The following is a 17789-nucleotide window of genomic DNA, read 5'->3' as shown; positions in this document are numbered from 1 at the left end:
ACAGTGCATGTGCTCCTGGCTCATCCTCACTCTCCTCAAGGCTCTGTGGGGACCCGGGCATAAGCCTTCCCTCAGTTCCTTCAGTGCCACTCAGGCCTGGCTGCGAAGATACAGATGGTATATGCGAATTACATATAAGTAACTATATGCAAAATTATTTTTCCCTGGTGTGTCATTGTGCCAGCGTGTTTGGATTAGAAGTGATTTCCAGGAATCCTTCCCTGCGTCTTCTAGCTTCTGGGGGCTCTTGGCCTTTCTGGACTTTCATGGATCATGACCACATCACTCTAATTTCTGCCTCTGTGTTCCAGCACCTCACCCCCTGTGTGTTGTGTCTTCTCTTCTCTCTGCTGTGAGGACAATTGTCATTGGATTTGGGGCCTATCCAGATATACCAAGATGATCTCATCTCAAATTCTTTTACTTCATTACATCTGCAAAGAGCCTTTTTCCAAATAAGATCAAGTTCACAGGATCTAGGGATTTCTATATGGACCTATCTTTCTTGGGGGCCAACATAACCCCCTACATGGTATAGGTGAAATAAGATTATTTGCAATTGATGAATCCAGGTGATGAATACTTTCAGATTTGTTATATTATGGGCAATTTGAGTGACGCAAAGAGGATAGCATATGCAAATAGGGTCTCTGGATTTGTCAGATAAAATACAGGATACCCACCTAAATGTGAATTTCAGATAAACAATAAATAATATTTCAGTATAATCTGGTTTCATACCGTGTTTGGAACATAGCTATAACTAAAAAATTGTTGATTGTTTGCCTGAAATTCACATTTACATGGATGTCCTATATTTTATTTGGCAACCCAGTAAGAAAACGGTGGCATCAGCTTGCCCTTCACAGACATCCTCTCCCAGCTATGCTCACAATAGAGATTTTTCAGTTGCCCTAGTCTTTGCACCCAACTCATGAAAAAAAGCATCTTTAAAAAGCCAGTTTCTGCTGACTTGCAAAAAGAGCAAAATCTCGGTGAAATGTATTGTGTAAACTTTGATTGCCAACCTTGAAAAGGAACACATTAACCAGTGTCTTCTGATAAGCAGATCACTTGCCTCATGTCTTAGAATCCAGTAGGTGGCCCCTTGGCCATGAAATGTGTGGGAGTGGCTTTTCCCTAACTTGACTCTTCTTTCAGTGGGAGAGAACTATTGAGAGGAACAAAGAGCTTATAAATACATTAGGACCTGGAATTCAGTTGTCGAGCCAGGACGGTGACAGCGTTTAACAAAGTAAGTACTGATCTTATAAATTTCTCTACATTGCCTCACACCCTCCTCTCTAGCCTCCTAGAAAAATATGCTAATATGTGTCCTTAGCACAAGGAAAAGTCTGTTTTTACTCATATTGTGCCGTCTTGGTGTGCTTGGGTGACAGTTCAAGAATTGTTTATTTCTTTTCTGTTGGATACATCTTTACAGAATTGTAAAAATGAAGAATTTAGAAAACCAGGGCTTCAGCATTTAATGGTATGGGAAACAATGACATGAAGAGAAAAAAGAAATGGTAGCATTTTAAACAATCTGAGAATAATCAGTGCTGGAAGAAGTGGCAATGTATGCAAAAATTTATTTCTCTGTGTAAGTAGTCAACACACAATTGTAAATTGTGACACTGTAATTCTATATTGGCTGTGAAAATACAAAACTCAGGTTTAGTATAATTAGAATAAATTAGTTTGAATGTCAGGAGAACTAGATTCTAGTTGAGCCTTTGCCACTAATTAGCTCAAAGACAAGTCATATTCTGTCTCTGGAGTTCTACCAACTCATGGCCAATATAGAGGATAGCTAAGAAAGAGGCTCCGACTGTTGCTGCCCTTTAAACTGTGTAATTCTTTGAATGGAGATCTGTCCTGCTCACTCTAGGATGTTTCTAGGCATCCCTGGCCTCTACCTATCTGATTTGTAACCCCCTTTCCCTCCCCGCAGATATGACAACCCAAAATGTCTCTAGACCTTGCTCAATGTCCTCTGGAGCAGAGGAGCAAAATCCCCCTGGTTGAGAACCATGGGACTACATGACCTCATGGGGCTAAGCAAGGCTGTGTTACTGATGTGCCCCACTGCTTGGACATTCACTGAAAATTTCCTGTTAATCCAGGTGGACTGATTAGTGAATATCAATATCTTCTGTACAGGAGCTAAAAAGGAAAGAGAGAGAGAAACAGAGAGCCATCATATGACAGATTTGATATAAGTCTGGATTCATATAAAATCTTATTCCTACTCGAGTTCTATGAACAAAATATAGAGAACCAGAGAAATGGATACAAGACAGATAATAGATGATGAAGAGACAGATTACAAAGAGATAGATACATAGAACGATTGATAGATAAAATAATACATACATGGATGGGTAGACAGAGATTATAAATAGATACATATACATAGATTGTTGGTCAGTAAAATAATTGATGGATAGATAGATCAAAGAAAGAGGATCCATGGGCTACTCAATATGTCCAGAGACTCACCCATCTTCCAAGCACTGGGACAAGAGCAAACACCCATTGCTGTGTTCCTACTATGAATTTTTTGTACATTATCTCATTTAACTTTCTCAACAACCCTCAAAAGTAGAAATAACTATCTCTATTCTAAGAAGAGAAAATTGAGGCTCAGAGATTAAACAACCTACTGCATTTATGAATCTCATAATGGAAGGAGTCATAGTTTATCTCATTCTCCCTTCTCTCTGATAAGAAACAGTGTCATTGGGACCACCTCAGAGATGTAAATGTAACTCCTTTAATTTACTCCTGGAATTATGAGAGCTTATATTCCTTTCAAAACAAGCCCATTTTTTAATTGATGTAAGTTAATTATTGATGTAAAGTAATTATACTAGTCCTCAACTCACTCTGATTTTTAGGTTGTCAAATCAGAGAAAGTCACAGTTTTATCAATTTTTTCTTCCAAGCAAGCCCCTGAAAAGTTGCTAACAGGAGGAACTCAGGAATTAGATGTTCCCCTCTCGTCCTCTCCTTCCAACATTTATTTGGCTAATATATATTTAATAGGAAAATACAAAACAACTTCTCAGACAGGAGCTGAGAGCCAGGTTATGAGGTGGAGTGGAAAAGCTCTGGACCTGCAATCAGAAGTTAAGGCTGACCCAACACTCACCAAGTGTGCAGCATGAGACAGGTGCTTTAGCTCTCTGAAACTCAGTGTGCCCATCTTTAATTTGGATAATAGGAGCCATTTCCCAGGGTTGTTGCGGAAGGTAAACACACTCCCTAGATATTGACTATGAATGAGGAGCATGTGTGTGTGACCCATGGCAAATCCTTGAGCTCTCTGGTTCTCATTTTCTGTTGACCCAACAAAGCTCAATGGTAACCTATGTCTCAGTCTTAGCCTGACCCTTGGAAACCTCACATTGAGAAAGTGATATGCTAGTTATCAGCAGGAGTGTTGTGATAAAATATTATGTAAGATAAAATTTCACTTCCTTTTGAAACATGATCCTCAATCAATGGCTAAGAGAGTTTAGTTTGGGGATTGGAATTACAACACTGTGAACTCTAGTCGATAACAATTAAACAAGCATACCCCATGCTTTCATCTGAACTTCACTCTCCCTTTCACTCTGTCAAATTATGCTATTTCCATTTCCCAAGTTACTTTAAATTGCTCCTGGAGTTATCATAGAAAGTACAATGTCAAAATATCTCATGACAAAACAGGTGAGTTGATTCAGTATGATTTCAAAGAATTCTTTACTTTCCAAAGGTTAATTATTGACTCCCATATTTTAAAATGAGACATTTAAAAGATTTTGATGCCTAATTTTAGTCATACATACCTTTTTAGAAATACATTAGTTGAGGCCGGGTGCAGTGGCTCACTCCTGTAATCCCAGCACTTCGGGAGGCTGAGGCGAGTGGATCACCTGAGGTCAGGCGTTCCAGACCAGACTGTCCAACATGCTGAAACCCTGTCTCCACTAAAAATACAAAATTATCCGGGTGTGGTGGCACATGCCTGTAATCCCAGCTACTCAGGAGGCTGAGGGAGGAGAATCACTAGAACCTGGGAAGCTGAGTTTGCAGTGAGCCAAGATCACGCCATTGCTCTCCAGCCTGGGCAAAAACAGTGAAACTCCATCTCAAAATTAATAATAAATAAATAAATACATTAGTTGTTAAAGGCAAGTATATTTTTGTTCCACACTCAACAACCACAAAACTTTGCAAGAAGAATCTTAATGTTAAATATCAGAGCTGGGGGTTTGGAGAGAAAACGCAACTGTTCCTAAGTCTTGGCACTGGAACTCCTGCTTTCAATGAGTCCTGTGCCCTTCCATTCACATTCATGATACAATTAGTTGCATCTGTCCCTGCAGCCACTGGTTTTCATTCTCTGATACTCTGCTATGTTCCACCTCCCAAACAGCCTGGGATAGAGCAAGGGCTATCAAACTTCACTGATGAGCCCAGTCAATTTCTCTCTAACCATTTACAATGAGCAAGTGAGCATGCACACGTGCAAACATCCGTACACACAATATACAAATAACTGAAACTAACAACTCATCAAACATTACTTACCTTTCAACATGTCATGCTCACTGACATTTTCTATTCTTTTCTATTTTATTTTTAAAAGTAATGGGCTTTCACAATCTACTGAAAGATTACCATGCATATTTCAGAAACACTAACATAGAAAATAAGACTCAGTCCTTGGTTTTTAACAGCAGTGAGTCTGCATCCCGATCCATCATTTACTCTGAGAAAGTTACTTTAAAAACCTCAGTATCCTCAAATGTAAAATGAGAATAACAACTGCATTCATCTTAGGTGATTTTTGTAGGATAAAACGAAGAGAAGTTTAGAAGAATGACCAGTGTGTAACTGATGTTGAACAAATGCTAGCTCCTTCCATATTGCAAAATTAATGCAGCAACATCTCTTCTTCCAGCTTATAAAACAAAATGCACCCCATAGAGTTAGAATACAGAATTACAAAAGCTGCAGGGATTAACAATCTCTGTCTGTTGATAGATTTTGGATCTTCTAGCTACAGTTAAACAAGTCTGAGGCCTAATTTCTGGTTTTGATCAAATGTAGTCTCACAGTCAAAGAGGTGAAGAGTGACTTAGCTCCCTGCCGGTCCTCCCTGTCAGTGACATCCTCTGGTTTCATGGCCAGTTCATGGGTTCCCAGGGCCTTCACCCAGCTGGCTTCCAGGAGTGACTTCATTTTAGTCCTTGGTGTAGATATTCATGTCCATCACCAACCGGAGTGTGACTGTGAACATTGTATTTCTCTGATGTTCCATTTCATTAACTAAAAAATTGAGATAACAATCATTTCACGGGACTATAAGGAGGGTTAAAGATATAAAATATTGAAAGGGACTAGCATTGAGGAAGGATCACTAGGAAGTTTTCAATAAATATTAGTTCTTGAATTCTTCCTCTTCCAATAACTCCTATACATGTATTTTTACCACATACTCTCACCTCTTATGCTGCCAAGAAAAGTCACAGTTAGCCAATGAAGACTTGAGACTGGTTTGCTGGAATCTGAGGGTGGCCACTGCTGGGTAACAATTTGAGCCAAGAAAACATTCCAGGAACTCCTCCAACACAGTCATGAAGAAGGAAGGTTCTTCTTCAGTATTGTTGGTGGTTTTCAACTACATATCCTAAAGTACATTTTTGATTCTATCGTTTCAATTATTCATTCATTCATTCATTCATTCAGGCTTAGAGAAACCTCCAGGAGACTGCTATCATGGCAGAGAAGCCCAAGCTCCACTACTTCAATGCACGGGGCAGAATGGAGTCCACCCGGTGGCTCCTGGCTGCAGCTGGAGTAGAGGTAGGTTCTGAGTTAGGTCATCTTAAGTTGGATTTAAAATTGTGTTATCACATACTTTTCCCACAGAAACTATGAGATGTTGCTTACTGAAGCATTGTGCCTTAAATAAAAATGGACTGTAATTAAGAAAAAGATGAACAGATTTGACCTATTAATTCTTAAAATTTCTTCTCATCTAAAAGCAAACATATTAAAATACAATTAAGACACTAATCACAAAGTGCAGAACTTAAGTGGATTAGAATTTAAACAAACTGTAAAGAATAATTTATAGCATTTATACAATTAGAAACATGAATATCGATTGAATATATGAAGACATGAAATAATTATTGTTAATATTTCATGTGTGATAATGTACTATGGCTGTCTTTAGAATAGTTAATGTGTTTTAGGAAAACACATTGAAGTATTTAAGGATTAATCATATGGATCTGGGATTTCCTTGGAATTATTACAAGAGGAGAAGTAGGTGGGCATATAGATGAAACCATATTGGTTTTGATTGATAATTATTGATTCTAGGTGAGAAGTATAAGGAGAATCATTATGCTTTTCTGTTTATATTTATTCATGTTCATAATTTCCACAATAAAAAAATAAAAATGCATAATATTAAAAAATGATTGTAATTAGAGGTAAAATGCAAACTACAAATGAGAGATGGAAGGGAGTGGATTGTAACAAACTACCTATTAAAGATTGACTACATTCACAGCAATTATTTACTTGAGCACTTATTAATTCCAGGTTCTGTACTCGGTCATGGAGATAGTGAACAAGACAGACACAGTCCCTGCCCTGGGGCAGCCTACGTGTCTATGAGGATGCAGAGAAATAAACACGTGGTTAAAATGAGGGGAGGAGGCTTCTAGAACACACAAGCATTCCCCAATGCCACAAAACCACATCAGAAACCAGAGGTTTTCCTTAAAAATAATGCTAGTGTGGGACCCTAATTCCTTTATTAAATTGAGAATTTTACCCTATTGTGCCTCGTACTTCAGAAGAGAAAATTACAGTTGCAAGTGTGAAAGCTGTGCAACAGTGGCGACCTATTTCACACTTAGCAGGGTTCCTGAGAAGTGGGGCGATACAAATTACAGCAGAGGCTCCTTGGTGGCAAAATGTTTGATAGCCATTAGCCCATGGCATGCCTCATGCTGGGGACACACAAGGTTGTGGTCTGATCTCACTTGGAGACACAGGCTTTCCTAAGATATGACAACACCATAACTAGAAGAACTGCTCAGTGCCTTTTCTCCAGTGATGTCCCCCTCAAAATATGACCTAATCATAGACATTCATATCAGGGTGGAGTTGAAGTGAACTAAAAGATTTAGCAGCTATGTGCTGTGACCCATGCACTTTTCTCAATGAATTAGGTCTAAATTTCCAAATGGCCATGACCAGCCCCCTCTGTGTACCCTGCCAAACTCAGAAATCTTGTATTCTCCAAATGATGCACCAGATGGGGCCATTCAAGGCCACAGTCTATAATAGAATGAACTAACAAGAACGTATTTACTGTTTCTGCTTCCAGTTTGAAGAGAAATTTATAAAATCTGCAGAAGATTTGGACAAGTTAAGAAATGGTAAGATCAATCTCTAAGTTCCTCTGATGAGGGTATCTAGTAGAAGGTACACGGGGAGGTTTGCGCAGCCGGCAATGTCTATGGGTGTGGGGCATGGTATTTGTACATGGTGCAGAGGGAGAAAGTGGTTAAAATGGAAGGGATGTGGCTCCTTGAGCAAGTCTGGCAACTCTCTCCAGGTTAAAAGGACCAGACCTCTCAGAGTATTTGCTAGAGGAACAATCTCCCACCGCTGAGAAAGCCCTTTCTTTGTTTTCATGCTTGGGGCACCATGAATGAGTGGTGGTCATCAGCACAGGATCCCATACAGCCCTCCCCATCCAAGCACATGCAAGAACATGCATTAGACAAAAGGAGGAGGAATAGATGTGGCCACTGTCTTGAGTTTTTTCTTTCATGGGGGGAGTGGGACTGGGTAACACTGTAGCAATATCGCAGACTTTGAAGAGCACAGAAAGGGACCCTTACATAAAAACCTCTCAGAACCTGCCTTAAATGTCACAACACCATGAGACTTACTCTGGGAACTTCCTGTTTTAAATGGCATCTTGTTGCCAGTCCTATTGTAACTTGTCCCAACCTCTTCCTAAAATATCCATGAAGATAAATCAACACAAAAAATACAAGAGTCCCACTATGTATCTGGAGGGGCAATAAAAACATATATGAAATAAATGGATAAAAAGTAAAAGGAAACTTCTTAAGAAAAAGAAGAACTACAGGAAGCTTTTTAAAAATGTTGTTTGGACTGGGTGCAGTGGCTCATGCCTGTAATCCCAGTTTGGGAGGCTGAGGTGGGTAGATCATTTCAGTTCAGGAATTTGAGACCAGTTTGGCCAACATGGTGAGACCCTATTGCTTGTAAAAATACAAAAATTAGCCATGTGCACTGGTGCATGGCTGTAATCCCAGCTATTGGGAGGCTGAGGTAGGAGAGTCACTTGAACCTGGGAGGCAGAAGTTACAGTGAGCCAAGATCATGCCACTCCACTCCAGCCTGGGTGACAGAATGATACTCTGCCAAAAAAAAAAAAAAAAAAAATATATATATATATACACACACACACACACACACACACACACACACACACACACATATATATATATATATATATATATATATATATATAGTTTTTGTTTCAAGTGAAATCTTACCAGGCAGTAATTTCTTTGCCATTTTACAAATTTAGTCATTTCCACAACCATTTGTTCATCCCAAAAGGGTGGGTTTCATAGACACTTCACTCTCCTTTTTTTTCTTCCTTCTAAAGATGGATATTTGATGTTCCAGCAAGTGCCAATGGTTGAGATTGATGGGATGAAGCTGGTGCAGACCAGAGCCATTCTCAACTACATTGCCAGCAAATACAACCTCTATGGGAAAGACATAAAGGAGAGAGCCCTGTACGGTATATTTTCTGTTCTTCCATCCACAGAGAACACAGAGTGATTTAGGTCCTTCCTTGAGTGGGTGGGACGATGGCAGGGCATCATGACCAGCAGCAGGCTGGGCCTTGGGCATGTACGCTGAGGTCCAGTATTGCAGAGTCCCATGGAGATGAGGGAACAGTGAACATGGGGAGGGTTCAGGCAAGGGTGATTCTAGAAGAGGATGCAGTCCATGGATCCAGCACCTCACGGTAATTTCCAAACACGGATGAACCATGAACTGAGGAGGATGGGGAATCATGATTCCAGGTGCTCAGGACTTCAGAGGCTCGACTCTGGCCAACAGTTTAGGACAGGCATAGAATATGTGAGAGTCTGTAGATGAAGGACTGGGGAGGGAAAGTTGCAAAGACGCCAAAGCTAAGGTCCCAGTAATTCCAAGAATGATGACCGGGAACCTAAATTACCAACCAAGTATATCAACTGGAATACTTGAGCAGGGCTAGTAGAGGCTGGCACCAAGGATGCTGGGGTTACCTTGACACATGGATAGAAGCACAAAACAGCCAGATTGATTCAATACCAGCAAAACCAAGGGGTCTCCTTGCTGTTGTGATGAGACTGCATGATTCCAAATAAATCCTGAATGAAACTGCTGGCAGCTCCTCAAAAACTTTAATATAGTATTACCAATGACCCAGCAGTTCCTCTAACAGGTATATCCCCAAATAATCGAAAATACATCCACACTATATATTTTACATAAATAAATAATGCGAATAACAATATTCATAGAATTCAAAAAGTGGAAACAACTCAAATATCCATCAATCAATAAATGAAGGAGAAAAATGTGCCTTAGCCATGCAATGGAAAGATATTTGGTCATGAAAAGGAATGAAGTACTAATGCATGCTATAAGACAGTTAAGCCATAAGACATGTTACATAAAAGAAACAAGACACAGAAGGCCACATATTATAGGATTCTTTTTGTATGAAATGTCCAGATAGTCAAATCCATAGAGGTAGAAAGTAGATTAGTGCTTGCCTGGAGCTAAAGGAGTGGGGCTTGGAGAAAAAAGAATACTGCTAATGGTACAGGTGTCCTTATCAGGGCGACAAAAATAATTCTGCAATTAGACTGTGGTTATTTTTACAGATTTCTGTGAGTGCACTAAAAACCACTCAATAGTATAATATACCTGGTGGCAATTATAGTATGTGAATATGCATCAATAAAGTTCTTGTTTTAAAAAGTATTGTGAAACTCCAGTTTGACACAAAAGAAGAAAAGTTTGCACTGGTTGTAACTGTATAGAGAATTTCACCAGGGAAGGGGATTCTTAGGTGGGGTCTCAGGAAAGGCACACATGGCTAGAGTTGCGCAACAGCACATGGAAAGGGCTGTGGAAATGTGTTTCATGGGTGTAATTGAAAGAACTGCAAATATGGGGCATAGAAGCAGCCCTGGGAGCTGTAAAATGATGAGAGAGGACAAGGAATATGGCTGACATGGCTGTGCCAGGGACTCTCTTAGGATTACTTAGGAAGCAGGTCTTTGGCCATTTGACTCACACTAAGTTCATGCACAGAACAAACCACAATGGAGATGATAAATCTTGGCACAGCATCAGTGGGTACTGGCAGTGATTCTGCCAATTTCTCTCATGACTGTGACCACCGACGTTCTTTTTACCTGTATTAGGTCATGTGTGTAACAAAATTTAGAGATCTATCTACCTTGATAGGTTAAGAGATAAATGTTAATATACCTGTAAAACTCAGAGCATAATGACTAGACTATAAAAGGCACCCACTGGAGGTGAATTATTTTGCCATCACCTGATACTCTACTCCCTTAGGTTTTTATAAACCTATAAAATCTAAGGCAAAAGGTATTTGACCATTTGGTTGTTTCTGTCTTTCAGGATTGATATGTATATAGAAGGTATAGCAGATTTGGGTGAAATGATCCTCCTTCTGCCCGTATGTCCACCTGAGGAAAAAGATGCCAAGCTTGCCTTGATCAAAGAGAAAATAAAAAATCGCTACTTCCCTGCCTTTGAAAAAGTAAGTGAAGCAGTTCAGTGTTTTGGGGAACTGAGTTTAGAGGCCAATAGAAAAATAGTGGCTGGGCATTCCTGGGTCACTGATCTTCACTTTCAGTGAGACTTCCTGAACACCAATGCAGCACTCTGACTCTCAAGGCATTTTATGAAAATAGACTTGGAGAAACAATTGTATCATTTATACCCAAGCTATACTTTTCCAGTAAAATTTTAATTTACTGGACCCCAACATGGAATTACCTGTTCAACAAGATTTCATGTTCATAAGTAGAATGTGGGCTCTGGACCACACTAGAGGTTGCTGTTGAGTCTATGGAACCCCATGGACTTTGACTGAACAGGGGCATGATGAAAGCGATCCATCAGAAAATATTCTGGCACCATATGCAGGAAGATAGGAGACCAATTGCCCAACCAGAGAATACTGTAGCGTTTCAGGGATGGGTATTTTTTAAAAGGAGAGTGATTGTGGGATGCAGAGGAAGATTTTTTAAAATGGATTTTAGAGTAAGTTGCAGACATCAGTGCAGTTCACCCGTAAACGCTTCAGCTTGCAGATTATAACATAGTGCCAGTTGGGAGTGAGAGTCAATGCTGTAAGAAAGATGAATTCAGGTTCACCCAGGTTTCCTACAGATCCCAGGGAGATAGAGCAGGGAATGAGGAGAGCAGACAAAGAGAAATGAGGACTCTGAAATAGTCTCCTCCTGGGGAAGAGTGTTGTCATGAAGGTGGAGTCACTGCCCAAGGGAGATTGGAGAGGGAGAGAGCAGAATGTAGAGCCACATCCTGAATGTGAGGGCTCCACGCTGTAGGGCCTGGGGCAGACAGAACACATGGAGGCAGGTGCTAAGCCCCTGGCCCATGTGGAAGAAGCAAGCTGCGTGGGTGGTGTAGATGCCACAGTGATGTAGAATGAGAAGAGAAAATGGGAGCCTGAGCTACAACTGAGGAGTGAGTAGAGTTACAGTTCTTACTCTCTCATTCATTCAGATAATGTGGAGAAAGCTCTGGATTTCTGCACCCATGCAGTAAGGCAACAGAGGTGGGGAAAGTCAGGGTGGAGAGGCTCCGAAAGAAGCAGGGGTCCTAGCCTGGGTGTGCATGTGTTCCTGATCTGATTCCTCCCATTCTCCAGGTCTTAAAGAGCCATGGACAAGACTACCTTGTTGGCAACAAGCTGAGCCGGGCTGACATTCATCTGGTGGAACTTCTCTACTACGTCGAGGAGCTTGACTCCAGTCTTATCTCCAGCTTCCCTCTGCTGAAGGTGACCCATTTCACAGCCCAGAGAGGCAGCCCCACATCTCCCATCTTGGGATCTTGTATCTGGGCCCTGCGACTGACCAAGTTTTGCCCCAGTCTTCTCCAGGCCTTCAGTGCCCCAAGGTCTCCAAAATGAGCTTCCAGGCTCCAATTTTGAGGAATGAAAACACTTTTGTTATGGAAAGGAAATCTGTGCTGCATGCTACCCCACAAAGAGTATTTTGCCCTTTATTATGGAAAGAACCCAGGGCCCAGCATCTCTCCCCATCCCTCTATTTCAATGTGGTTTCTGTTCCTGAGTTCTCTGTGATGTCCTTTATCCCATATGTGCCCACAATGAGCCGGTCTGAGCAGAGCCCTTTCCATCTGGTTTCCTCCCTGGGCTCCGGCTCCTGCTGTCTGACATTGTGTTCCTCTCTGCACAGCTCTCCAGAACACTGGCCCCCCACACTGTATCTCTCACTGAGAAAAGGTGGTCCCATGGTTTGTCTTTAATATTTTCTATAACTATTCCCTTCCCAAATAATTTCCCCATGTTTTCACTTCTGCTTAGAGACTCATCTGTGTTGATATCTCACAGGCACATTATTTTTTCTTGTCTTATACAAGAGTCACTAATCTATAGGATTAGTGTGTAAGGAGAAAGATAGAGATGACTGAACTGATTAAAACTTCAAGACATCTTTGGGGAAAATAAAGTGAGCTACATGTCCTTCCCCTTATCTTCATTTCTCACTGGGTGTCTGTTTCTGCCTCCATGCTTGTGCTGATGGAGCAGACTCACTTGGTCTTTGCAGGAGGGGCTCAGATTCCCTGGGTCATGTTAATGGTGGTGTCAGCCCTTGGCTTCACTCTGAGGCTGTGCTTTATGAATTACAGGCCCTGAAAACCAGAATCAGCAACCTGCCCACAGTGAAGAAGTTTCTACAGCCTGGCAGCCCAAGGAAGCCTCCCATGGATGAGAAATCTTTAGAAGAAGCAAGGAAGATTTTCAGGTTTTAATAACGCAGTCATGGAGGCCAAGAACTTGCAATACCAATGTTCTAAAGTTTTGCAACAATAAAGTACTTTACCTAAGTGTTGATTGTGCCTGTTGTGAAGCTAATGAACTCTTTCAAATTATATGCTAATTAAATAATACAACTCCTATTCGCTGACTTAGTTAAAATTGATTTGTTTTCATTAGGATCTGATGTGAATTCAGATTTCCAATCTTCTCCTAGCCAACCATTTTCCTGGAATTAAAAATTCAGTAAAAAAGGAAACTATAGATTATGTGGTTTGTTTGACTTTTCCAAGAATTGTCCCGTAACATACAATTTGTCATACAATCTATTAAAATGTCAATGTAGAAATGCACTTCTGACATTTTCAGGTATGCACAGGAGAAGAGTTACCATCCTGGATAATGGCATAAAGACATTTTCTTCTTTTCCTGGACAGTCATTTTATTTCTGATAAAAGCGTTCTTTCTTATGCATTTGCAAAACAATGATTCTGTCTGCTGTGGATTCCTCAGTTTTCTAGGAGGTGAGGAAATACTGAAGAGCAAACAGACCCACCCTCTGCTCTCAGGCCACCCTATTGTCCCTTACAGTGTGTGTGCTCCTGGCTCATCCTCACTCTGCTCCTTAAGGCTCTGTGGGGTCCCAGGCATAAGCCTTCTCTCAGTTCCTTCAGTGCCACTCAGGCCTGGCTGCCACGATACAGATGGTATATGTGAAATACAAATAACTATATGCAAAATCATTTTTCCCTGGTGTGTCACTGTGCCAGAATGCTTAGATTAGGAGTGCTTTCTAGCTCCACCCCCATACTGGTCCCATAGTGCTAATCTCTCCCAGGACACCTGGGCTTCTGCAATTTGCACTCTCCTCCTCTTAGAGGGAGCTTCCCCACAGTTGGCAGAGGTGGTTGAGGGAGCAGACAAACACACAGGCTTCCTACCTGCAGCTTCACTTTGCTCTAGTCTCTTCTCCACTTACAACCAGAGTAGTTTTTCCAAAATACAAATTGGAAAAATACTCACAGAATTCTTCAGTGAGTCCTGACTGCATATACAATGCATCCTCACACCTGTCTTCACTCCGTGATCTTCAGCCCAGTCAACTCTCCGAGCATGGTGGGGCCTCTTGCCTTCCTGCCTGGGTGCGTTTGCTAGCCCTGCCTGGCAAGCTCCTTCCCAGTGGACACACTTAACACTACCTCATTGCTTCCCAGGAGCACTGGGCTGTCCTCTGCCCTCCACAGAGTCCCAGTGAGCCTCTAATAACACCTGAGGGCCACTGTGTCTGCTCCCCTGTACTGTGAGCCTGTGGTGTGAGGCTTGGCCTGCTGGGTCCCCAGTGCTTCATCACTAATGGACAATGACATCTGCACAGACCCATGCACAGCTCTATGCAACTCCAGAACCTGGGTATATGAGATTGGGCTTTGAGAACTCACAAACCCCCACACTCTCTACCTGTCTCTATTCATTCATTAATTTCTAAAAAAAAAAAAAAAAAATTGACTCATATCCCTCAAATGCTTTGTAAGGACCTTGCTTGCATGCTGACCAAAATAAACAAACTGCTAAGAAATTTTTATGGGACACTTACATGAACTAGAACGCTGGAGCTTTGATGAAATTAAAGAATTATAGAATTTTAATATGATAAGAGATTATCATATTAAACACAATCATAGTGTGATTATGTTTAGAAAAGAAGTTCTTCCTTTCTAGAGATGAATACTAGTATTTACAGATGAAATGATATGCTGTCTGGGATTTGCTTGAAAAGAATCCCCTGGTAGTGGTGGGAGTATGTGGGAGTTTGTATCATTTTCTTGTGGCTCCTGTCACAGATTCCTACAAACTGGGTGGCTTGAAACATCAGAAAGGCATTTGCTTACAATTCTGAAGGCCAGAAGCCTGAAGTCAGGATGTGAGTAGGGCCACATTCCCCTGGAAGTACTAGAGAACAATCCTTCCCTGCCTCCTACAGCTTCTGGGGGCTCTTGGCATTTCTGGACTTTCATGGATCATGGCCACATCACTCTACTTTCTGCCTGGGGCTTCCAGCACCTCACCCTCTGTGTGTCTGTGTCTTCTATTCGCTACATTGCAGGGACATTTGTCATTGGATGTAGGGCCTATCTGGATATACCAGGATGATCTCATCTCAAGTTCCTTAACCTCATCTGCAAAGAGCCTTTTTCCAAATAAGGTCACATTTACAGGACTCAAGGATTTGGACATGGACCTGTCTTTCTTGGGAGCCAACATAACTTAATCCACTGCCAGGTATAGATGAAGAAATGTTGCTGGCAATTGATGAATGCAGGTCATGGGTACCTTCAAGCTTGTTATATTATTCCCTCTACTTTTGTATTTGCCAGAATTTTTCCATGTAAATTTTAAAACTATCTTATTTTAGGAGCTCCTACAATGTCCAGGTTTTGTCCCAGACAATAAGGACTGGACTGACATAAGAAGGCTCTGTTCTCAGGAGCTCAAGGTCTAGGGAGAAATCAGATATTGAATACATCATGTAAATTAATGTAGGGAAAGACACAATAGAGAAAATACAGTAGGAGGTGAAAGTGGAGTATTCCAGTCAGGACAAATGCCATGTGCAAAGGCCCAGAGGCCAGGAAGGGTGATTTGTGCAATGCAGAGAGGTAACACTGTAAAAATAGGGTGGCCAGATTTGGCGGATAAGATACAGGACACCCAAATAAATGTGAATTTTTAGACAAACAAGCAATACTTTTTTAGTATAAACATGTTTCCTACAGTGTTTGGGACATACTTATACTAACAAATGACTGATCCTTTGCCTGGAATTCATATTTACCTGGGTGCCCTGTATTTTGTGTGGCAACCCAGTAAGAGAAGACTTCCAGAGTGCCATCAGCCTGCCCTTCACAGACATCCCCTGCCAGCTATGCTCCCAGCAGAGATTTCTCATCTGCCTTAGTCCTTACATCCAAGTCATTAAAAATGAGCGTCTTCAAAAAGCCAGTTTCTACTGACTTACTGTAAAGAGAGCAAAATCTGCTGAAATTTTTGGTTAGACTTTTATTGCCAACCTTGAAAAGGAACATATTAACTAGTTACCTTGTGATAAGAGGATGACTTGCGATTTTTCTTAGAATCTGGTAGGCAGTTCTGCAGCCCTGAAATGTGTGGGAGTGGCTGTTTTTAACTTGACTCTATTCCTTTCAGTGGGAGGGAGCTATTGAAGCGAACATGTAGTTTATACACCACATTAGGACCTCAAATTAAGTTGTTGAGCCACAAGGGTGACAGCCTTTAACAAAGTAAATACTGATCTTAGAAGTCTCCCTACATTACCTCATGACCTCCCATCTAGGTCACTAGAAAAATACTTTAAAATGTGTCCTTGGCACAAGAAAAATCTGTTTTATACTTATATTAGTGCCTTTTCTGTGTGCTTGGATGACAGTTTAAAAGTTCTGCATTCACCTGCTTTTGGATACATTGTTTCAACTTAAATAATAAAGAGACCCTTTCAAATAAAAGATATTTATTTGAGAATTAAGTGTTGTAATGGGTATATGTTTATCACAGTAAACTATGTATGTATTCAGGGAAGTTAAGGAAGACAAAGATTTTTATAGGAATAAAATGAGGATTAAATAAACGTTTTGAAATACTTATCAGTCACTACAAATGTCAATAACAAGGGTAATGCCAGGCCAAGTTTCAACAGGCAGTTGCTGAGCAAGTGTCCTAACAGATTCTTTTATTAAGATTGCGATGGCCTTTGTTCAAGGTTGTGTTTTTCCTAGTTTGTTTTGTTATCAGATAAACAGTAAGAACATTCTCTTTATGGCCTTTTTCAGCTCTGTTGTCAGAGTTTTCCTAACATTGTGACTCCTTTTGACTCTGACAACTCTCACAATCATTAAAGAAACGCAAAAATGAAGAATTTAGAAAACTAGACTATGAGAATTTAATTATAGTAGAAAAATTAATACCATGAGGGGAAAAAATAGTCACGATGTTTTGTCCGGAATTGGTGGGTTCTTGGTCTCACTGACTTCAAGAATGAAGCCGCAGACCCTTGCGGTGTCACAGTTCTTAAAGGCGGCGTGTCCAGAGTTTGTTCCTTCTGATGTTCAGATGTGTTCAGAGTTTCTTCCTTCTGGTGGGTTCGTGGTCTCACTGGCTCAGGAGTGAAGCTGCAGACTTTCGCGTGAGTGTTACAGCTCTTAATGTGGCACCTCTGGAGTTGTTAGTTCCTCCCAGTGGGTTCGTGGTCTCTCAGGCTTCAGGAGTGAAGCTGCAGACCTTTGCAGTGCGTGTTACAGCTCATAAAAGCAGTGTGGACCCAAACGGTGAGCAGCAGCAAGATTTATTGCAAAGAGTGAAAGAACAAAGCTTCCACAGTGTCGAAGGGAACTGAGCTGGTTGCCACTGCTGGCTGGGGCAGCCTGCTTTTATTCTCTTATCTGGCCCCACCCACATCCTGCTGATTGGTCCATTTTACAGAGAGCCAATTGGTCTGTTTTACAGAGAGCTGATTGGTGCATTTACAATCCCTGAGCTAGACACAAAAGTTCTCCAGGTCCCCACTAGATTAGCTAGATACAGAGTGTTG

The 17789-nt window shown here is 41.1% G+C and overlaps 1 protein-coding gene across 3 annotated transcripts; it reads left to right on the top strand.

Moving 5' to 3' along the window:
* Positions 1–1223: 1223 nt before the first annotated feature.
* Positions 1224–13669, top strand: GSTA1 (glutathione S-transferase alpha 1). Of its 3 annotated transcripts, NM_145740.5 has the most exons (7): positions 1224–1255; positions 5743–5859; positions 7403–7454; positions 8726–8858; positions 10774–10915; positions 12053–12184; positions 13060–13669. In NM_145740.5, the coding sequence occupies exons 2-7, from the start codon at positions 5773–5775 to the stop codon at positions 13180–13182; spliced, it is 669 nt and encodes a 222-aa protein (NP_665683.1). In that variant the 5' UTR covers positions 1224–1255; positions 5743–5772; the 3' UTR covers positions 13183–13669. The 3 variants fall into 3 exon arrangements, with proteins under 3 accessions (NP_665683.1, NP_001305988.1, XP_005249091.1); NM_001319059.2 differs by lacking the exon at positions 8726–8858; XM_005249034.5 differs by lacking the exon at positions 13060–13669 and having other exon boundaries at positions 12053–12992.
* Positions 13670–17789: the final 4120 nt, after the last annotated feature.

Source organism: Homo sapiens, chromosome 6 (assembly GCF_000001405.40).
Source record: "Homo sapiens chromosome 6, GRCh38.p14 Primary Assembly".
NCBI lineage: Eukaryota > Metazoa > Chordata > Mammalia > Primates > Hominidae > Homo > Homo sapiens.
The sequence above is the reverse complement of the archived record's forward strand: the minus strand, read 5'-3'. Positions and strand labels throughout refer to the sequence as shown.

What these genes read in the sequence shown, in the direction of transcription:
- GSTA1 (XM_005249034.5), top strand. Translation starts at nt 5,773, where the DNA reads ATGGCAGAGAAGCCCAAGCTCCACTACTTCAATGCACGGGGCAGAATG. An exon ending in TTTGGACAAGTTAAGAAATG is followed by an intron (nt 7,455 to 8,725) that starts GTAAGATCAATC and finishes TTCCTTCTAAAG; the next exon opens with ATGGATATTTGATGTTCCAG. An exon ending in GACATAAAGGAGAGAGCCCT is followed by an intron (nt 8,859 to 10,773) that starts GTACGGTATATT and finishes TCTGTCTTTCAG; the next exon opens with GATTGATATGTATATAGAAG.